The sequence below is a fragment of the Homo sapiens genome, chromosome 11 (genome assembly GCF_000001405.40).
Source record: "Homo sapiens chromosome 11, GRCh38.p14 Primary Assembly".
Classification (NCBI taxonomy): Eukaryota; Metazoa; Chordata; class Mammalia; order Primates; family Hominidae; genus Homo; species Homo sapiens.
In genome coordinates, this window is record NC_000011.10 from 86066270 (window position 1) to 86088584 (window position 22315).

The 22315-nt window shown below is 40.5% G+C and overlaps 1 protein-coding gene and 1 long non-coding RNA gene across 32 annotated transcripts in view, besides 8 other annotated features; one reads left to right on the top strand and one right to left on the bottom strand.

Moving 5' to 3' along the window:
• PICALM (phosphatidylinositol binding clathrin assembly protein) overlaps positions 1 to 3591 on the bottom strand; it is a 112686-nt gene extending 109095 nt beyond the window's left edge. For 28 of the 31 annotated variants that reach the window (XM_047427669.1, XM_047427667.1, XM_047427665.1 and 25 more), the window contains exon 1: positions 2382 to 2815. In XM_047427669.1, the coding sequence (XP_047283625.1) occupies positions 2382 to 2511 (130 nt within the window). In that variant the 5' untranslated portion in view covers positions 2512 to 2815. Of the gene's footprint in view, positions 1 to 2381; positions 2816 to 3450 lie in introns of those variants that run through there. The other 3 variants (XM_047427666.1, NM_001206947.2, XM_047427660.1) reach the window with 1 other exon arrangement.
• Positions 1461 to 2163: an enhancer, noted in NCBI's record as "NANOG-H3K27ac-H3K4me1 hESC enhancer chr11:85778772-85779474 (GRCh37/hg19 assembly coordinates)". NCBI's record gives its function as "activates a minimal SCP1, AML or CMV promoter by ChIP-STARR-seq in primed H9 embryonic stem cells {active_cell/tissue: H9 hESC(primed)}" and the evidence as "EXISTENCE:reporter gene assay evidence [ECO:0000049][PMID:30033119]".
• Positions 2164 to 2865: an enhancer, noted in NCBI's record as "NANOG-H3K27ac-H3K4me1 hESC enhancer chr11:85779475-85780176 (GRCh37/hg19 assembly coordinates)". NCBI's record gives its function as "activates a minimal SCP1, AML or CMV promoter by ChIP-STARR-seq in primed H9 embryonic stem cells {active_cell/tissue: H9 hESC(primed)}" and the evidence as "EXISTENCE:reporter gene assay evidence [ECO:0000049][PMID:30033119]".
• Positions 2164 to 3804: a biological region, named in NCBI's record as "MED14-independent group 3 enhancer GRCh37_chr11:85779916-85781115".
• Positions 2430 to 2479: a silencer, noted in NCBI's record as "silent region_3823". NCBI's record gives its function as "represses an Ori minimal core promoter by ATAC-STARR-seq in GM12878 lymphoblastoid cells {active_cell/tissue: GM12878}" and the evidence as "EXISTENCE:reporter gene assay evidence [ECO:0000049][PMID:35858748]".
• Positions 2550 to 2599: a silencer, noted in NCBI's record as "silent region_3824". NCBI's record gives its function as "represses an Ori minimal core promoter by ATAC-STARR-seq in GM12878 lymphoblastoid cells {active_cell/tissue: GM12878}" and the evidence as "EXISTENCE:reporter gene assay evidence [ECO:0000049][PMID:35858748]".
• Positions 2605 to 3804: an enhancer, noted in NCBI's record as "MED14-independent group 3 enhancer chr11:85779916-85781115 (GRCh37/hg19 assembly coordinates)". NCBI's record gives its function as "activates an origin of replication core promoter dependent on BRD2, BRD4, P300/CBP and CDK7 cofactors, and independent of MED14, by STARR-seq in HCT116 cells {active_cell/tissue: HCT116}" and the evidence as "EXISTENCE:reporter gene assay evidence [ECO:0000049][PMID:35650434]".
• Positions 2740 to 2909: a silencer, noted in NCBI's record as "silent region_3825". NCBI's record gives its function as "represses an Ori minimal core promoter by ATAC-STARR-seq in GM12878 lymphoblastoid cells {active_cell/tissue: GM12878}" and the evidence as "EXISTENCE:reporter gene assay evidence [ECO:0000049][PMID:35858748]".
• Positions 3060 to 3329: a silencer, noted in NCBI's record as "silent region_3826". NCBI's record gives its function as "represses an Ori minimal core promoter by ATAC-STARR-seq in GM12878 lymphoblastoid cells {active_cell/tissue: GM12878}" and the evidence as "EXISTENCE:reporter gene assay evidence [ECO:0000049][PMID:35858748]".
• Positions 3655 to 6232, top strand: LOC124902731 (uncharacterized). Its single transcript, XR_007062823.1, has 2 exons — positions 3655 to 5428; positions 6049 to 6232. It is a non-coding gene; the product is annotated as an uncharacterized LOC124902731 (long non-coding RNA).

Genomic DNA, 22315 nt, shown 5'->3' on the forward strand with positions numbered 1-22315 from the left:
TGATTACAGGACATTTTAATCAACAATGTAGGGAAAATAGTATCCCTGTATTTTAAAACCTCATTGAAAAGAAACAGAAGCACATTAACGACACATATATTTTTAAATCAAATACTACCAGGTATATTCAAGTTCCAAAAACGTGGGAGCTTGTAAACACAGAAGTGGTAGAGAAAAAGAACGACAAATGCAAGATTATCCTCCAAACCTAATCCCAGTTACCATCTATCTGCAGTAGTGGCTATAACAAGAGAAATAGCTAATAACATTTATGAAACAACATGCAAATAGCACTCTTCTAACCCTACCTATTTTCTCCTCTTTTTGACAATGCTTTAAAAGAACCACTGCTACATTTGAAATAAGACACAAACCTTTACAAAAAAAACTTTTAAAAGCCTTATCGATTCTTATTTTGAATGAGGAAAGAGGAAAATAGTTCACACAGTCACAACTAGTTTCTTCATACTCCCATACAAAAAAAAAAAACAAAAAAAAACCAAAAGCAACTAACAAAAGAATTAACACAGTGTCAGGACAAACTGTAAGATTTGGTAGGGCAAACCAAGTAGTATTTGAAGAGCCGTAAATAGCAGAAACGTCTACTACACGTATCAGATAATCAAAAAATCACATATGGCTTTACGATGCATTTTAAAAAGTTTTCTGTTCATAAGAGTGTCACCATTTAAACATATTCTCCATTCTCTAAGACAAGCAAGGACTGAGAGTTTAAAAGCAGCCTGCATGCATATCTGAAAGAATCAAGCACTAATGCTTTTTTATTTAAAACTTTTTTCCACAGTGGAGGAACAATCACAAAGAATAATAGGCTTCTGTGTAGCAAAAACTTGTTCTAACAGCATTCATGAGCACAGTAACTTGGAAGAATCTACATTTCGTACATTTTTTTTAAAGTGCAAACTTTACGGCCAAAGTCCAAATGAGAAATCAAAACAGGCTTCCAGACAGTGAATTATCTTTCAGGGCATGCTCACTCTTGCTTCAAACAGTAAAACAAAGTAACTTTCATGTATGATGAAAGTCAGTCAGACTAATGTGTCCAGTCATTTAAAAAGGGAACTTACTTATCGTGACTATTGCCCTATTTTTCCCTGAAAAGTTTCAGGTCTAAGCTCCATTGGCTTGAGTGATCCAATGAGCTTTGTACCCTGGGGTAAAAGAGCGCAAAGAAAAAGGAGGGTATTACAGGTGACTTCCAGGTTAGAAAAAAGTTACGAGGAGTTAGCTCTACTAATTGTATCTACGTTAGCGAATGGACGAATACTATGTCGTGTAAGAGAAGCTAAAGCTAGTTCCTCAAAAGGTAACTGGCATAATTAAAACATCCAAACTCAAGCATCATCAAACATCATTTTGCCAATTTTTTTAAGGGATGTATGTTATTTGTAAGTAAATTTATTAATCCATTTGGAATTCCAACAGTCTACGCTTAACACTCAAGCTTCTGAATTCAAGCCGCCAGAATTAACAGTTCCAGGAACTGATAAGAGTATCAGCAAAATGCCTTTTTCCATATCCCCATGTGAAAAGCTGGGGGGCAGAGCTGACAGTCACAAACTCACCCCAGTCAAAAGTATGGACAACACAACGATTAAATTCCACCAGAGGCAAATAAAAATCCCAACTTTCCAGAAAGCTTTCCCTACACCAAATTGAATCCTTTTACTTTCACTCCCACAAAGAAGGTAATCTGAAATAAAAGTCGGGTAACTGGGTATGGTATTTAAAATGAGTCGAAGAAACTACACTGAAGCTACTATAGAGGCGATGAAAAGGTAACCCAAAAGCAGGAGGGAAGGTGGAACAGAAAGCCAGGAAGGGATGGGCGAAGCAGCTAGTGGAGCAAAGGAAGTGGGGGATCCCTTCCAGGGAGGCAGCCCGGAGGGATAACAAGGATCTGGATGCAAGGAACCAGGCGTTTACTGAAACCCGAAGGAGGCTGATGAAGAAACAATGGGGCTTGGAGACGCTCAGACGAGGGCGACGAGGCGGCACCGGACGGGTGGGAAGGAAGAGCAGAAGGCTGCAGTGGAGACGGGTAGGGGGTGAGAAGCCAGGTGGGGAAGCAAGTTGGTTGGGTATGATGGGGTGTGGTAGCGCACCGGGCAGGGAGACGAGGGTCCCCTAGGAATAGGGAGGGGAGTGGCTTGTCAGATTTTGAGACGGGGAGCGGAGGCCGTGAAGGCAGGTGTGATGGAAGCAAAAGAACACAGCTCAACGGGCACAGGACCGGCCGTGCCAGAGAAGACGCAGGGAGGGAAGAGGCAGTAGAAGGGTGAAAGACAAGAGAGAGAGAGAAGGACGCGCGCGGGTCGCGCGGGCGCCGGGGAGCGGGGGCCGCGGTCGGCTTCACTCACAGTCCAGGTGCTTTTTCTTGGGCCCCATGATCTCGTGGGTCGTGGCCTTGCATACTGTCTTGGATACGGCAGAGCCGGTGACACTGTGCTGGGCGGCAGTGATTCGGTCCGTCAGGCTCTGGCCGGACATCTCTGCAGCTCCTCCACCACCCCACCCGCTCAGCAGCCGGCGGGGACTGGGACCCCCAAGAGCCGGAGGGTCCCCACCCCCCACCGCACCCCCTACCCCCACCGGCTCCTTCCCCGCCTGCCGGCCTGGGGCGCGGTTCGGGGCCGCGCGCTGCCACCAGTCCAGAGAGAACCGGCTCGTGTCACCCGCGGAGTCGGACAAGATGTCGGGCACTCCCTTGCCCCCGCCTCAGTTCAGCCCACCCCTTCCCGGGTCAGCTGGAGCCGGGCAGGGTAAGAGGAACAGGCAGCTGCAGGAAAATGGCGGCGCCAGGCTCCTCCTCGGAGCTTTCCGGGCTGCCCCGGGTCACGTGACTCGGACACCGCCCCTCCTCCCTTCTCCCGCCCCTTTCCCCTTCCCTTTCCTCTTCGACGCCCGCCCTCCCTCGCTCAGCGAGGGAAGAGCTGGGCGGCGCCCGCGCGTTACGTGATGGAACTCGCCAGGCGGGCGCAACAGGAGGCCCGCCCGAGGGGAGTGCACAGCCGGCGCATCACGTGACTCTCCCTGCCAACAGGTCGCCTGAGGCTCGGCCCGCGGGGTCACAGACGCCGGGCGGGGCGGGGCGGGAGAGGAATGGCGAGGGCGGTGTGCTGGCGGGGGTGGGGCGGGGCGGCAGGCTTCTCCCCTTATCCCCCCACCTCAAGTGTGTCCTCGTGTCTGTGGTTGAAACCAACAGCTTGACAAAGGAGGTGCAGCTGCCTTCACAGCTTCCCCTGAAGTGGGGGGTATTAGGCCTCTGGCTCCCCGAGCTTTCCCAGCAGAGTCAAGAATGTATTTCAAGACGCCTCCCAAAGCCGCCCTCCTGGCTTAAAGGAGAAGGTTCCAAACGGCCTATTTTCTGAACCTTCCAGCAGGCCTCTCTCTACCATGGAACTATTGAAGCTCTCCTTATTTACTTACCCCAGAAAGGTTTTTTCCCCCCTTTCCTTGAGAGGCTTGGAAATGTCACCTGGTTTTGTTTATCTCTACTCCGAAAACCCGACACGTTGCTGCCATTCTAAATTTAGATACTAGCTGGCCGGTATTCATTCTCTAGGGTGTGGAATAGGACAGGAAACACATAGCTTCACTGGAATTTGAAAAGGGAAGTAGTAGGATGATGTCAACAGCGATTAGCTTGACCCTACATGGCTGACTGCTGTGGTGATTAAAGGTCCAGACCATAGAAGGAAGTGAGAGGGGCGGTAAATGGAGAAGTCCCATTCAAACAGTCCAGACATCACTGCCTGCCATCTCCCCTGGTTTAGTCTTTCTTACCTTTGGCCTCTTTTCTCTTATTGGGTGAGCCAGATTTCCATGGAAAGACGTTGACACTGCCCTGTGGACATTTTAAAAGAAGTATTACATCCTGAAATACTATTCAATGAGACCCAGACCATACATTAACAAAGCCTTTTATATGTTATTAGAGCCTCTACATTCAACCCAGGGTTAGGGATAAGTTGAAAAATATGTGAGTGCTAAGTTACCATGATAGTCACATGTAATCTTGCTAGTTTCAAATGAAATGCTAACATTCTCAGAAAGTCTGTGTACACCATCTGCCAGCCAAATCCAAAATACTGTGCTTCAATCTGGTGACTCTCAAAGGATGCAAAGCTGATAGATATTTAACATTTTATGTATCATATCAGGAATTTTGTGGTCTCCCATTTTCCCCACGCCCCCTCACCCCTCTTTTTTCCCCACTATGGCTGGTGAAATTCTGCAGCAACATGCTCTTGCCAAGAACACACAAGTTTTTAATCCCAGCAGGCTTCATCTTTGTCAAGCCAGCCTCCAATTTCACAAAACTATAATGAATTCCTTCAGTGTACTGCAATCCATCTGTGGTTTGGTGCCCAGTTTGCTGCCCCACGTCCACTGGGCAGTGGAATTACCAAATTCTCAAGACATGTTATCAGCCATCATTGCTACTGGTCTATGGGTTCCACTGTATAAGTTACTGATTGGCCTGAGCCTCTGCATTGGTAAACCCCAATCTGAGGTCAACACTAACATGGTCTAGCTATCAACAGCTGAATATTTTATCCTTAGGGAAAATGCCAGTCATTCCTAAGTACATAACAGGAAAGTATTACACTATTACTTTTACCAAAGAGGTTCTTTCAGACCACTTTTGTGACAATAATTGTTGACATGTTTACCCTATTAACAAACAAGCTGCTGTTAGAAATATTTTATTTTTTTCCAAGTATACATAGTAGAATTTCTAACTATGTAAATAATCAGTAATCATTGAAGAGGTTTATGTGTGGTTGTGAACTGAAATATATGGAGAAATTTAAAAGAAGATGGGGAATTGTTCTAAGGGTAGACATTACTGACCTATGTTGTCTTATATGCTTAAGTTTTCTGTGTCAGTTTCCTTGGTCTATTCAGGAAATATCTCTACCTGAAGTTCCACAGATGCCAACTCACCATGGCCAATACTGAACTTCTCTTGCCCTTGCCCAGCATCCTACATCTTTAATCCATACTGTTCCCTATATCCGTTAATGGCCTCACCACATGTCCAGAAGCTCCGCTCAGAAAGCTGTGATTCTGAGTTCTCCTTCTGTCTTATTTCCCTCATCAAGCCTAATCTACTTTTATCTCTCAAACACATCCCATCTCTAACCCCACTTCTGTTGCCTTAGTTCCAGCCTTTATGATCTCTGTTATACTAGACTGTTTTAGTAACTTCTTAGCTGATTCTCTGTCTTTTATACCCTGACTCTCCAATTCAGATCCTTCTGAAACCAAAATGTGATTGTCTTTTCTTTGCATTAAAATCTTCCAGTAACTCCCCCATCGCTACCCTAAAGGATGAAATTAAGAACTCTCAACCTGGCATACATGGTTCTTCATGATCTGGCCTCATTTTAGAAGTTTCTAAGTATGTAAATAATCAGTGACCATTGTAGAGGTTTATGTGTAATTGTGAAATGAAATACATGGACCAATTTAGAAGAAGATGGGGAATTAGAACTAAGAATAGGCATTACTGACCTACTTTATCTTATATACTTAAGTTTTCTCTGTGTCAGTTTCTTCAGTCTATTTAAGAAATATCTTACCTGAAGTTCCACATGTGCCAACTCACATGGCCACCTAAACCTGTTGAGCCTTGTCTCTTCCCATTCCTCTAAATTCCCCTACCTACCTACTACTTGTTGAGCCTCATCTCTTCTGATTCCTTTAAATGCACTCCAGACAGTATCACACTACTTGACATACTTGGATGTCATGCTGTTTCACATACCAATAAGCAGTTACTGATTTCCTTTTGTTACTCATATATCCTTCTGTTCTCTAATTATTATTGTGATTGACTAATTGCACTAACATGGGGGTGCAGAGATACATCCATGCTAGTATTATGGTTGATGCAAGGTAGATACACAGTAGATGGTGATTGAACGAATGAATGAGAACGCTTTGAAATCACGCATTCGGACACACCATCACTCCAAACCTCTCATTTGATAAAATCTGCCCACTTTTTCACACATTTAGCATGTCTACTGGGCATGGAGGCATAAGCCTATAGTCATAGCTACTTGGGAGGCTGAAGCAGGAGGATCCCTTGAGCCCAGGAGTTTAAGCCTGCAGTGAATTATGATCCTACCACCGCATTCCAGCCTGGATGACAGAGCAAGACACTGTTTCTAAAAATAAATAAAGCATGTCCATCCCATAATTATCTGGTTGGAGCATCATCCTTATTCAGTACCTTGTTAATTAATTTACTCTTTCAAAAAATATGTGTTGAACTGTGTGTCAGGCATAAAGGTTCTAAGTGCCAAACACTATTTACAGTGAACCCATCAGTCCTTTGGGAACTAGTTAGTTCTCAACTTGAAGGCCTCTTTGCTTTGATTGTAAAGGAGCAGACCAAAAACAGAAGGAAAAAACTTGAATAACACATTTCCTAGGTATTTCCTAGGCTCTTCCAACTAAAAGGTATGTTGTAGAGAGGCAGGGAGTGTTCGGAGAAGGAGCAGGTTTTTTTTATTGCCTCCTATGTGCTAAAAACACTACATTTTAAAAATGTAATGCTCATAACAATAATTTCAAAAAGTATCATGTCCAAGTATCGTGCCCATCCAATACAAGAAAACAGACAAGTCTTGGAAATTTTTTTTTTTTTTTTTTTGAGGCAGTCTTGCTCTCTTGCCCAGGCTAAAGTGCAGTGGCATGATCTCGGCTCACTGCAAGCTCCACCTCCTGGGTTCACGCCATTCTCCTGCCTCAGCCTCCTGAGTAGCTGGGACTACAGGCGCCTGCCACCACGCCTGGCTAATTTTTTGTACTTTTAGTAGAGACGGGGTTTCACTGTGTTAGCCAGGATGGTCTCGATCTCCTGTCCTTGTGATGCGCCCACCTCAGCCTCCCAAAGTGCTGGGATTACAGGCGTGAGCCATCGTGCCCGGCCAAGTCTTAGAAATTGAGTAACTTTCCAAAATCCCACAGATACTAAGTGGCAGAAGCAAGATTTAAAAAATAATTATCCTTCCAATACTCTGCCCAGACCCTTTAGCCAGTACTTGAAGCAACTGCCAATATAGACTAAATTTATTCAACAGATAGTTCTTGCCTTCCTGCCATGTGCCAGGCTTTTCTAGACGCTATGATAAAATAATGTGCAAGACAAACAGGGCCTCTGTTCTTAGAGATCTTAGTGTCTAAGTCTTAACAAAGGAGAAAATAGGTAAAAGTATGCTGCACCTGAGGAACCTTAAGTCATCGTCAATGACTTAAGAAAGTGGCAGAGAAAAGGAATATGGAAGAGAGAATTGACCAGAATTTTTACTTTTATTATAACACTTTGTTATCTAAATTATAATCTTTTGATATTAAGCTAACTAAACTGATATGAACACATGGCAAACCCTTCCCCCCTCACCTTTCTGTGTTTACACTTCCTGATGCTGCCAAATCAGTTAGAGATCATAACTTCACATAACCTTAAAAAGGTAAGGACTTTTCTTCATAGCTAAGTTCCCTTGCTAGAACCTCTAAACAAATAAAGTCATGTGCCGCGTGACATTTCAGTCAACAACACACCACAGATACAGTGGTGGTCCTATAAATTATAATACCATATTTTTACTGTATCTGTTCTATGTTTAGATATATGTTTAGCTACACAAATACCATTTTGTTACAGTTGCTTATAGTATTCAGTACAGTAATGTGTGGCACAGGTTTGTAGGTTAGGAGTAACAGGCTATAATATATAATCCTGGTGTGTAGTGGGCTATACCATCTAGGCTTGTGTAAGTGCACTCTGTGATATTCTGAAACCGACAAAATTGCCTAATGACACGTTTCTCAGCACTTACCCCATTGATATGTGATGTATGACTGTATTCCACTTCCAACTGCAGGAAACTTATTCAGGCTCCCAGAATACATATTTTTGACAATAATACATAACTTTGTTGATTACTTACCCTGTTCTAAGCATGTTACATACATTATCTCAGTTACACCCTAAAACAACTTCATGACCTTAAGTGGAGGAGACAGCAAACTGTGTCCTTTTCCCCCTGAGCACATAGTTAGACCACATTTCCCAGCCTCCTTTGCAATTAGTTGGGGTCTTGTGACTGACTTCTGTCCCACAGAATGTGGACAGAAATAATGAAAGCCATTTAAGGCTTGACCCATAAGGTCTCAAAAACCTCCTACAAATCTTCCACATTCTCTTTCTTTCCCTACTTGCGGGCTGAATGAAGACTTCAAAGAATCTAGAGAAGGTCAAAACCACAAAATGGAAGAAGCCTGGGGTCATAGATGAATCCTTGGAGGAATGCTGCCTGTGAGAACTGCATGACCAGAAACATAAATTATGCTGCTGGGCGCGGTGGCTCACGCCTGTAATCCCAGCACTTTGGGAGGCTGAGGCGGGTGAATCACCTGAGGTCAGGAGTTAGAGACCAGCCTGGCCAACATGGCGAAACCCCGTCCCTACTAAAAATACAAAAATTAGCCGAGCGTGGTGGCACGCACCTATAATCTCAGCTACTCGGGAGGCTGAGACAGGAGAATTGCTTGAACCCTCGGAGGCAGAGGTTGCATTGAGCAGAGATCACGTCGCTTCACTCCAGGTTGGGCGAAAGAGCAAAACTGTGTCTCTAAATAAATAAATAAAGCCCCTGAGATTTTTGATGCTGTTTGTTACAGTGATCAGCTACCCTACCTAATACACTTCTTTTCTCTCCATTTTACTGATAAAGAAATTAAAGCTTAGGAAAAGTTAAGTAACTTGCTTAAGCTTGCTCAGCTATTAGGTTGGGGAAGTAGGATTGGAGCTCAGATCTACCTAACTTTAGAGCTGGGCTCTCACTGCTTGTGTTCGTCGTGGAACTATTTCATGTACTTCTAAAATTTTCATAAAAATTCCATATGGCCCTTTAATACAAACTGCTACATCTAGCATGGCTACAAAAACAATAATCTGGGTAATCTCCAGCTTCTCTAACAAGTATGAGGCTCTCTTACTATCTTTAACACATTCCTGCCACACTTTCCTTTCTTTCAGATATATTACTTTTACAATTTCAAAATAACAATATGTTTGGACTTTTTTAGTTATTCAGAGATGATGTCTAGACTGGCGGTTAAATACAATCCTTCCCTTGAAAGGGAAAATTAACCAAACCTTGACCCTGAATCATCATAAAAAAACTGTCTAATTAGGCATGGTACAGTGGCTCTCAACTGTAATTCTGGCACTTTGGGAGGCCTCAATGGTAGGATCACTTGAGTCCAAGAGTTCTAGACCAGCCTAGGCAACATAGTGAGACTCCTTATCCACCAAAAATTTTAAAAATTAGCCAAATGTGGTGGTGTGCAGCTATAATACCAGCTACTTGGGAGGCTGAGGCAGGAGGATAGCTTGGGTCCAGGAGCTTGAGGTTACAGTGAGCTAAGATTGGGCCACTGCACTCCAGCTTGGGCAACAGAGTGAGCCTCTGTCTCAAACACACACACACACACACACACACACACACACACACACACACCACACACACAAACAACCTCCCTATGAAGCAGAATAAAATTAGTACACATGAGATGTTAACATACCTGGGGGCCATTTTTCTCTGTAACCTAAGAGGATGAATCAAGTAAAAATGTATTAGAACATGCAACATTGTGCTAAAATGAAATCAGAAGCTTAATGCTAATGTTAATATTGGGATATTGAGTTTTGACCAGTAGTTGTCGGAAAAATGAAGGAGATTTATTAATTCATTTGAAGCAATGGGAGACGTACTGAATTTGGAGTCAGACACATTAGATCTTGAACTTAGGTTCAAAACTCTGGGCAAGTTATTCACTTTCTAATACATAACGCAGGGATAATAGTAAATATCTTGCAGATTTCCTGTTAGGATTAACATAACGTATACAAAAAAACTGGTGCAATGCTTGACACACAGTTGTCACACCAAAAATAAGATTAATCAATATTTACCCAGGATTTGCTATGAGCAAAGTACTCTGCTACATTCTCAGGATACAGAGATGACTTAGACAAAATGCCAACGCAGTGTGTTAAGTACTATGATAGAGGTGTTGCATGCAGTATTAAAAGAACAGAGAAAAGGAACACTGAATTCTGCTTGGAGGAATCGAGGGTTTCCCAGGGGCATAAATTGCCATGTTCTTCTTTATATGTTTATCCTTTTGGCTTTGCATCTTTATCCTCTTGGCTATCTTATTCCCCCTCTTCTGGATTAAGGTCTTTGATTGTTAATGAACACCTTTGTCCTTTACTCATGGTATTCCCAAGACATTTGACAATTAACAAATATGGGACCAATTCTTCATACAGCAGTAAGGTTGAACAAACCCTACCCAAATTAAAGGGTAAAAGACACTTGATTATATAAGGAAGATCTAAATGGATTATGGCACATGCTTCCATTGTCCAGTTTTGAAAACCTGGGACTATGGCTTTGAAATACCCTGTGAACTCTATAATCATCTTTGTCTTAGTGTCTGTCTGCATTGCAGTTACTAGATATATGATCATCAGAGTCTTGAATGCTGCTGCACATCCACTGTTAAACTAGATAATTTACAGATGTTCATTCAACAAAAAGGATGAGAAGGTTTCATAAAGAGGTCAAAATAACTACCATGAAAAACTCAATACACCATTGCAACTTATTAAATAGCAATGCAGATCTGGACTGATCACGTCCCAGGTAATGATGGTGTTTCTTCCAGCTTGGGTTGAAGATTGGCTGAAAGAAAGGAGACTGAGAAATGAAGCAAAAACTATAATGATTTGCAAAATGAATCAACTGTACCATTCCGTGACATGCAACACAAACACAAAATTGAAGCCCTTGTTGTTCTAACACCAACTTGCTTAGAGACTTAGAAGTTAAACCACAGATGAACTGATGTAACTGTAACTCTGCAGACACATATGCTCTAGTAGCTCATCTAGTTGACAAATTTAAACCAATCCCTGCACTGGCTACTAACGTGCACCATAAATTCCCCCCTATGATTAACACCAGCCTCCTCTCAAATCCTGTAAGTAATACCTTTCCCTAACTTCCCCCTTTTGAGACATTTTGAGACTAAAATTTTGTTATGGTGATGCTTCTCCTTATTAGTAACTTTAATAAATCCAGATTTGCTTATAATCAGCAGGTTTTCTCATGATCTTTGTATGGAGCTGGCAGGCTAAATTATGTCCCTTCCCTGCCAAAGATGGCAGGTCCTAATGCCTGAAACCTACGGCTATATTTTACATGGTAAAGAAATGTTGGCCAGGCACGGTGGCTCACACCTATAATTCCAGCACTTCGAAAGGCCGAGGCAGGTGGATCACTTGAGGTCAGGAGTTCAAGACCAGCCTGGCCAGCATGGTGAAACCCCATCTCTACTAAAAATACAAAAATTAGCCAGGCATGGTGGCACACACCTGTAATCCCAGCTACTTGGGAGGCTGAGGCAGGAGAATCACTTGAACCTGGGAGGTGGAGGTTGCAGTGAGCTGAGATCGCACCACTGTACTCCAGCTGGGAGACAAAGGGAGACTCTGTCTCAAAAAAGTAAATAAATAAAAATACAAAAATTAGCTGGGCATGGTGGCGCATGCCTGTAATCCTAGCTACTTGGGAAGCTAAGGCACAAGAATTTCTTAAACCCGGGAGGCGGAGGTTGCAGTCAGCCGTGATTGCACCACTGCACTCCAGCCTGGGTGAGAAAGCAAAACTCCATCTCAAAAAAAAAAAAAAAAAAAAAAAAAAAAACAGAAGTGTTGCATTGCAGATTTAATAAAGTTTAGGATGGGGAGATTATCCTGGATTATCTGGGTGGGACCAATGTAATCACGGGGTACTTATAAGAAGAACACAGGCAATCAGAGGGAGGAGAAGGCTATGTAATAACAGAAGTAGAGATAGTGATATCTCCTCCATCCAAGGAATGCCAGTCACATCTAGAACCTGAAAGAAACAATGAATACATTCCCTTTGGAAACTCTACAAGGAATCATCCTTGGCCACATCTTGTGCTTAGTCCCACCAGACTTATTTTAACACCAACATAAAAGAAGGTAATTTCTGGAGGTTAGAAATCTAAAATCAGGTAAAAGAATAAATTTCCATGTGTTAAATCACTATGTTTGTGGTCATTTTGTTACAGCAACAAGAGGAAACTAATACAGGGAGATTTGGCAGCAATTTGCAAAGTACATTCTTGTTGCTGTGTGGAGAATGGAATGTAAAATAAGAACAGAAGCAAGAAAAATAGCTAAGAAGGAATTGCTGTAGACCAGAAGAGCAGTGATCGTGACTTAAATTAGGGTGGTAGGCATGGAAGTCAAAAGAAGTAGATAGGTTTAGATATATGTTGAATAAAGAATCAACAGAATTTGCTGGTGGATTGAATGGTAGGGAGTAGAATCTGGGGACAAGTTGCTCAAGTAAAGACTATGAAAGGGTGACTCCTAGGATTTTGGACTGAATAACCATGTGAATGGAGAATAAGGACAGATGAAGTTGGAAGGAAGATAGCTTATATGCCACAATTAAAAAGAGCCTGGATATTGTCCTGAAGGCAAGAAGAAGATTGAAAGATTCTAAGGACAGAAATGATATGGAGGACTAACTGATCTTTGTGGAACCTCTCATACTTGAAATTCAATTAGTCTTTTAAATGATTCCCTGAGCCAGAAACCATGATTCCATCTCTTTCCTTCTTCCTCTACCCTGTATAATGATTTGGTTTTTAGTTCAATTACAGCCTTGTTATGAAATATCAAGAAAGTTTTGGACAGCTAAATTTTACATTTTATGGTCTTCCTTAGGCCTAATTCACAGTGGATTACATAAGATTAGAAAACAAAAAGCTCATAAAAATAGTTGTTCTCCTTTATAACACTTAGCCCAAGGGCAAGATCAAAATAAAACTAGATGGTGGATAGAGTACTTTGTGATAGTGGCATTAGAAATAAGAAGAAGCCTATTGATTCTAGAGGTAAAAATGCATAGGAGTTGGCAAAGAGATTGCATGAAATGGATTAAGGAGATTGCAAAGTTTAGGTTGATTCCTAGGTTTCCGGTTGTATCATGATGCTATTCACTAAAAAGGAGAATCCTGGAGCAGGGGGAAGGTGGAAAGGTAGCAGGGAAAGAATGTTGTATTTAGTTTGAACATACTGATTTTTTAAATTAATAAACTTACTTTTTTAGATAAGGTTTAAATTCACAGAAAAATTGAGTGGAAAATACAGACAGTTCCCATGTAGTTCCTGTCCCAACACGTGCACAATCTTCCCCACTGTGGACATCACGTGCCACAATGGTACATTTGTTACAATCAGTGAACCTACATTGACACATCATTGTCACCCAAAGTCCATGGTTTACGTGAGGGTTCACTCTTGGAGTTGTACATTCCATGGGCTTTGACAAATGTATGATAACATGTATCCACCATTACAGAATCACACAGAATAGTTTTACTGACCTAAAAATTCTATGTGTTCTGCCTATTCATCTCTCCCTTCCCCAGCCTCTGGCAATCATTGATTTTTCACTGTCTCTATAGTTTTGCCTTTTTCAGAATATCAAATAGTTGGAATCATACAGTCTATGCCCTTTTAAGATTGGCTTCTTTCACTTAGTAATATGCAAGTAAGATTCCTCAATGCCTTTTCCTCAATTGCGTGATAGCTGATTTCTTCTTAGCACTAAATAATATTTTGTTATCTAGATGTACCACAGTTTACTTATCCATTCACCCACTGAAGGACATCTTAGTTGCTTCCAAGTTTTGGCAATTATTAATAAAGCTGCTATAAACATCTATGTGCATGTTTCTGTGTGGACATAAGTTTTCTTTTTCCTTTTTCTTTTCTTTTTTTTTTTTTTTTGAGACAGAGTCTTGCTCAGTCGCCCAGGCTGGAGTGCAGTGGAGCCATCAAGGGCTCACTGCAACTTCCTAGGTTCAAGCGATTCTCCTGCCTCAGCCTCCGAAGTAGCTGGGATTACAGGCACCCGCCATCATGCCCAGCTAATTTTTGTATTTTTGTAGAGACAGGGTTTCACCAGGTTGGCCAGGCTGGTCTCAAACTCTTGACCTTAGGTGATGTGCCTGCCACGGACTCCCAAATTGCTGGGATTATAGGCGTGAGCCACTGCACCTGGCCAAACATAAGTTTTCAGTTCATTTGGGTAAATATCAAAGAGCACAACTGCTAGATCGTATGGTAAGAATATGTTTGTTTTGTGAGAAACTGCCAACTCTCTTCCAAAGGGGCGCCACCATTTTGCATTCCCACCGGTAATGGATGTGAGTTTCTGTTGCTATGCATCCTCTCCAGCATTTGGTATTTTCAGTGTTCTGAATTTTGGGTCATTCTGATAGGTGTGTAGTGGTATCTCGTTGTTTTAATTTGCATCTCCCAATGACATATGATGTTGAACATCTTTTCACCTGATTACTTAACGTCTGTGTATCTTCTTTGGTGAGGGTGTCTGGTCAGGTATTTTGCTCATTTTTAAATTGGCCAGTTCATTTTCTTATTGTTGAGTTTTAAGTATTCTTTGTATGTTTTGGATAACAGTCCTTTATCAGATGTTTATTTTGCAAATATTTACTCCCAGTCTATTGCTTATCTTATTCAATTTTACATTGTCTTTCACATAGCAGAAGTTTTTCCGTTTTTTTTTTGTTTTCTGTTTTTTTGTAAGACAGGGTCTCACTCTGTCACCCAGACTGGAGTGCAGTGGCACAATCAGGGATCACTGCAGCCTTGACCTCCTGGGCTCAAGTGATCCTCCTGCCTCAACCTCCCTACTAGCTGGGACTGCAGGCATGTGCCACCATGCCTGGCTAATTTGTTTATTTTTTGTAGAGATGGGGTTTCACTATGTTGCCCAGACTGGTCTCAAACTCCTGGCCTCAAGCAATCCTCCTGCCTTGGCCTCCCAAAGTACTGAAATTACAGGTATGAGCCACCATGCCTGGCCAAGTTTTTCCATTTTACTGAAGTCCAGCTATCAGTTTTTTCATGAATCATGCATAGGGTTGAATCTAAAAAGTCCCTGCCATACCCAAGGTCATTTAGGTTTTCTCCTATGTTATCGTGTGGAACTTTTATAGTTTTTTGTTTTACATTTAGGTTTGCTGTGGTATGAATGTTTGTAACCACTCCCCAAAATCCTAACCCCCAAAATGATGGTATTAGGAGGTGGAGCCTTTGAGAGGTCATTAGGTTACCGTGGGTGGAACTCTCGTTAATTGGATTAGTACCCTTATAAAAGGCCTCAGAGAAATCCCTTCCTCCTGCCATGTGAAGACACAGTGAAAAGGGAGTGACCTGTGAATCACGAAGTGGACCTTCACCAGACATCAAATCTGCCAGTGCCTTGATCTTTGATTTACCACTCTCCAGAACTGCAAGAAATACATTTCTGTTATACATAATCTACCTGCTCTATGGTAGTTTGTTAGAGCATCCTAAATGGATTAAAGACAAGGTCTATGATCCATTTTTTTAATCCTTGATGCTGATTCTAGAATATGATCCATTCTGACTTAATTTTTGTGAAAGGCATAAGGTCTGTGTCTAGATTCATTTTTTTTTTTTTTTTTTGCATGTAGATGTCTAAGTTGTTCCAGCAAAACTTGTTGAAAAGACTATCTTTTCTCCACTGAATTGCCTTTGCTCTTTTGTCAAAGATCAGTTGACTATGTTTATGTGGGCCTATTTCTGGGCTATTTTGTTCCATTAATCTCTTTGTCTATTCTTTTACCAATACCATGCTGTCTTGATTACTGTAGCTTTATAGTAAGTCTTGAAATCAGGTAGTGTCAGTCTTCTTATTTTGTTCTTCTCCTTCAACGGTGAGTTGGCTATTCTGGGTCTTTTGCCTCTCCATATAAACTTTACAATTAGTTCATCAGTATCCATAAAGAACATGCTAGGATTTTGATTGGGATTGCATTGGGAAGAACCAGCATCTTGACAACATTGAGTCTTCCTATCCATAAACATAGAATACTCCTCTATTTTTTTAGTTACTTAATTTATTTGTAGTCTTCCTCATATAGACCTTGTACGTATTTTGTTAAATCTATACCTATTTTATTTTTGGGGTGTGCTAATGTAAACACTAATGTGTTTTCAACTTCAAATTCTACTTGTTTATTGCTAATATATAGGCGAGTGGTTAATTTTTGTATATTAACATTGTATCCTATAACCTTGTTATAATAGCTTATTAGTTCCAGGAGTTCCTTTGGTTGATTCTTTTGGATTTTCTGCATAGATGATCATGTCATCTGTAAACAAAGCCAGTTTAATTTCTTCCTTCCCAGTCTGTATATCTTTTCTTTTCTTTTTTATTTTATTGCCTTAGCTAGGACTTCTAGTACAATATTGAAAAGGAGTGGTAGAGAGGACTTCCTTGACTTGTTCATGATCTTAGTGGGAAAGCTTCGAGTTTCTCAGTGTTATGTATGAAGTTAGCCATAGGGTTGTTGTAGATGTTCTTTATCAAGCTAAGGAAGTTCCCCTCTATTCCTAGTTTCCTGAGAGTTTTTATCATGAATAGTGTTAGGTTTTGTCAAGTATTTTTTCTATATCTGTTTATATGATAACGTGAGCTTTCTTCTTTAACCTGTTGATGTGGTAGGCTACACTGATTGATTTTTTAATGCTGAACCAGCCTTGAATACTGGGAATAAGTCCCACTTGGTCATGGTTTATAATTTTTTATACATACTTTGATTCAATTTGCTAATTTTTTGAGGATTTTTGCATCTATATCATGAGAGATACTGGTCTGTCATTTTCTCATGATGTTCGTCTGATTTTGGTATTAGGATTCTGCTGGCCTCATGGAATGAGTTAGGAAGTATTCTCTGCTTTTATCTTCTGAAGGAGATTGTAGAGAATTTGTCTAATTTTTTCCCTTAAATATGTGTTAGAATTCACCAGTGAACCCATCTTGGCCAGGTTCTTTCTGTTTCAGAAGGTTATTAATTATTGGTATCATTTTGTAAATACACCTATGCCTATTCAGATGGTCTGTTTTTTCTTGTATAAGTTTTTGTAGACTATGTCTTTCACAATTCTTTTTATTTATTTATTTATTTATTTTTTGACATGGAGTCGCACTGTGTCGCCCAGGCTGGAGTGCAGTGGCGTGATCTCAGCTCACTGCAACCTCTACCTCCCGGGTTCAAGCGATTCTCCTGCCTCAGCCTCCCAAGTAGCTAGGATTACAGGCATGCGCCACCATGCCTGGCTAATTTTTGTATCTTTAGTGGAGATGGGGTTTTGCCATGTTGGCCAGACTGGTCTCGAACTCCTGACCCTGTCATCCATCTGCCTCGGCCTTCCAAAGTGCTGGGATTACAGGCATGAGCCACCACTCCCAGCCTCACAATTCTTAAGTTACTGCATTTCATCTAAGTTATCACATTTGTCAGCATAGAGTTGTTCATAATGTTCCTTCCTTTTAATGTCCCTTCTTTCATTTTTGGTGTTAGTAACTTGTGTCTTCTGTTTTTTTCTTAGCCTGGTTAGAGGTTTATTGATTTTATTGATCTTTTCAAATAATCAGCTTTTCATTTTTTAAATTTCTCTCCATTAATTAATTTCCTGTTTTCAATTTCATTGATTTTTGCTCTAATTCTTATTATTTTCTTCTGCTTACATTAGACTTAATTTCCTCTTATTTTTGTCATTCCGTAAGGTGGTGGCTTAGGTTATTGATTTTAGATCTTTCTTCTTTTGTAACATATGCATCCAGTGCTATAAATTTCCCTTGAAGTACTCCTTTTGCTGTATCCCACAAATTTTGATAAATTGTATTTTCATTTTCATGTAGTTTAAAATATTTTTAAAATTTCTCTTGAGATTTTTTTTTGACTCGTGTTATTTAGAAGTGTGTTGTTTAATATCCAACTATTTGGGATCTTCCCACTTTCTATTGCTGATTTCTAGTTTAGTTCCATTTGGCCTGAGAACAGACATTGTAAAATTTTTATTCTTGTAAATTTGTTGAGGTGTATTTTATGGCCCAGAATGTCGTCTTTCTTGATGAATGCTTTACATGAGCTTGAGAAGAATATATTATCTGTTTTTGTTCGATAAAGTCGTCTATAGATGTCAGTTATATCCAGTTGAGTGATAGTTTTGAGTTCAACTATATCCTTACTGATTTTCTCCCTGCTGGATCTGTTTATTCCTAATAGAGGAGTGTTACGGTCTCCAACTACAATAGTGGATTCATGTATTTCTCTTTGTAGTTCTATCAATTTTTGCCTCACGTATTTTGATGCTCTACTATTAGGCACATATACGTTAAGAATTGTTATGTCTTCTTGGAGTATTGACCTCTTTATCATTATGTAATGCTCCTCTTTATCCCTGATAATTTCCTTGCTCTGAATTGTGCCCTGTCTGAAATAATAGCTACTCCTATATTTTGATTAGTGTTAGCATAGTATATTTTTCTACATCACTTCATTTTTAATATGTATATTTCTTTATATTTAAAGTAGGTTTTTTGTAGACAGCGTATAGTTGGAGCTTGGTTTTTGATCCACTCTGACAAAGTGTGCTTATTTTTTATTTGTTTGTTTGTTTCTTTGAGACAGTCTCACTCTGTTGCCCAGGCCAGAGTGCAGTGGCGCAATCATGGCTCACTGCAATCTCTGCCTCCTCCCAGGTTCAAGCGATTCTCCTGCCTTGGCCTCCTGAATAGCTGGGATTACAGCCGTGCACCACCATGGCCTGGCTAATTTTTGTGTTTTTACCAGAGACTGGTTTTCACCATGTTGGCCAGGCTGGTCTCCAACTCCTGGCCTCAAGCAATCTGCTGGCCTCAGCCTCCCAAAGTGCTGAGATTACAGGTGTGAGCCACTGTGCCTAGTCTGACAAGGTGTGCTTAAGCCACTGATGTTTAAAGTAATTATTAATATAGTTGGGTTAATATCTACCGTATTTGTTTTTGTGCTCCATTTATTGCCCTTATTCTTTGTTCCTATTTTTGTCTTCCACATGTTTTCTGCCTTTGTGGTTTTAATTGAGGGTTTTATGTGATTCTGTTTTCTGTCCTTTCTTAGCATATTGATTGATTATACTTGTTTTGTTTTTACTTTTGTAAGTGATTGCACTAGAGTTTGCTATATACATTTACAAGTAATTCAAGTCTACTTTCAGATAACACTATACCACTTCACAGGTAGCACAAGTACTTTATAATAACAAAGTATTCCTAATTCCTCCCTCCTATCACTGATACTATTGCTGTCATTTATTTCACTTATCCATAAGTATACATAAGCCTATATATAATATACATATATAGTCAAATACATTGTTGCTATTAATATTTTGAACAAAATGTTACATTCGAAAAATTAAGAATAAGAAAAATAAAATTGATTCCCAAAGCTCTTCCTTTCTTTATATAGTTCCAAGTTTCTTACCTATATCATTTTCCTTCTCTTGGAAGAATTTCTTTTAGCATTTCTTGCAGGGCAAGTCTACTGGTGGCAAATTCCTTTCATTTTTGTTTGCCTGAGAAAGTCTTTATTTCTTCTTCACTTTTTTTTTTTTTTTTTTTTTTTTTTGAGGTAGAGTCTTGTTCTGTCACCCAGGCTGGAGTGCAGTAGTGTGATCTTGGCTCACTGCAACCTCTACCTCCCAGGTTCAAGTGATTCTCCTGCCTCAGCCTCCTAAGTAGCTGGGACTACAAGCACACACCACCATGCCTGGCTAATTTTTTTGTATTTTTAGTAGAGATGGGATTTCACCATGTTGGCCAGGCTGGTCTGAAATTCCTGACCTCAACTGATCTGCCTGCCTCAGCCTCCCAAAGTGCTGGGATTACAGGCATGAGCCACCACGCCTGGCTCTTCTTCACTTTTGAAGGATAATTTTGCAGAGTACAGAATTCTAGGTTGCTGGGTTTTTTTCTTTCAACACTTTAAATATTTTGCTCCACTTCATTCTTGTTTGTATGATTTCTGAGGTGAAGTCAGATGTAATTATAGTTAAGGTGTTTTTACCCTCTAGCTTCTTTCAAGATTTTTTCTTTATTTTTGATCTTCTGAAGTTTGAATAAATGTGCTTAGTATAGTTTTGGTGGGCATTTATTTTGTTTAGTGTTCTCTGAGCTTCTTGGATCTGTAGTTTGGTGTCTGACATTAATTTGGGGAAATCTCAGTCATTATTGCTTCAAATATTGCTTTAGTTCCTTTCTCTCTTTCTTTTCCTTCTGATATTTCCATTACCTGTAAATTACACTTTTTGTAGTTGTCTTACAGTTCTTGGATATTCTGTTCTGTGTTTCTTTTTTCCAGTAATTTTTAAATCTCTTTTTCTTTCATTTTTGGAAGTTTCCTTGTCACATCCTCAAGCTCAGAGATTCTTCCCTCAGCCCAGTCCAGTCTACTAAGGAGCTCATCAATGGCATTCTTTATTTCTGTTAGTGTTCTTGATCTCTAGCCTTTCTTTCTGACTTTTTCTTAGAATTTCCATCTCTCTGCTTATATTTTTCCATCTGTTCTTAAATGTTGTCTATTTTTTACATTAGAGCCCTTAACATATTAATCATATTTGTTTTAATTCCCAGTCTGATAATCCCATAATCTATGCCATATCTGAAACTGGTTCTGATTCTTAAGTTTCTTCAAACTGTTGTTTTTTGCCTTTTAGTGTGCTTTGTATAGTACTATTTTGTTGGAATCTGGACATAATAACTAAGTGAAAGAAATCCCAGTAAATAGGCCTTCAGTGATAAGGTCTGGGTAAAGTGGTAAGGTTTGGGGGGATGAAAAGCATTCTATAGTCCAGTGATTTGATTCCAGTGTTTTGTGAGCATGTGTACTTCCAGTCTTCCAGATAGGTTAGGCACTGATAGGTTAGTCCCCCAGTAGGTTAGGCTCTTGTGGTATCATATAAAATATAATAATCTTGTGTATAATATAAAAATATATTTGGTCTGTCCCTGTCTTCTGGCACAGAACTCCTAAAACCTTTGGAATTTCCCTTGGAATGATAGGAGTGCCTTTGTTATTCATAACGAGTCCCTTTCAACCATGTCTATGTTTATACCAATAAGGTGACTTATGGTGGGGCCCTTAGACGGCCTCAGGATAGAACTGGTCTCCAGAAAGAGCAAGTGATTAGAGGGTGAGAATTTTCAGCCCCATTCATCAATCTCTGGGGAGGGAATAGGGACCTGGAGATTGAGCTCTATAAAAACTCTTGAACAATGAAATTCAGAGAGCTTCTGAACAATGAAATTCAGAGAGCTTCTGAATTGGTGAATACATCCATGTATTGGAAGGGTGGTGCATTCTAATTCCATGGGAACTGAAGTTTCTGAGCTCAGGACCATTCTAGACCTTGCCCTGTGCATTTCTTTATCTGGTTGTTCATTTGTGTCCTTTATAATAAACCAGTAAATGTAAGTAAAGTGCCTTCCTGAGTACTGTGAGCCATTCTAGCCAATTACTGAACCTGAGGAGGGGCTCATGGGAGCACCATATTTATTTATTTATTTTTTTATTTAATTTTTATTTTTATTTATTTATTTATTTATTTATTTATTTATTTTTGAGATGGAGTCTTGCTCTGTCACCCAGGCTGAAGTGCAGTGGCGCGATCTCAGCTCACTGCAACCTCTGCCTCCCAGAAGGAACCCTGTATTTATAGCCAATCAGTCAGATGTATGAGTGCCCAGGGACTTCTGATAGGCATCTTAAATGGAGGAGGTCTTGAGAGATTGAGCCCTTAAACCTATGGCGCCTGATGCCAACTCCAGGTAGTTAGTGTCAGAATTGAATGGAATTGTTGGCATCCACCTGGTATCCAGAGAATTGGAGAATTGGTTGCTGGTGTTGGAAAAAAATCCATTCAGATAAAATAGTTCCCCATGATGGTAGGCCTTGTTAAGAAAGAAGTGCTCTATCATATTTAAAAATAGTTCCTTTTCCTCTTCCCCTGCAAGAAGCCTAAGGGATTTTTCTCCAGTAGTCACTGTGTGTACCTGGTAGACCTTCAGGAGGTAAAACTCACAAAAGTGTTGGGGCTTCCTAGGACAAGGTCCCCCTGGAGTTTTTAACTCTAAGACTTGTCCACATTGAACCTCCAGCAATTCGTTAATTACAGGTTAGGTTTTCCTCCCCTAGCACTGGCTCCTGCAGAGGTTTCTGACTGTGGGCTTCCGCTCTGGTAAATTTTGATTCCCTGTATCTTCCTGCCTGTCTTCAATTTTGGGGC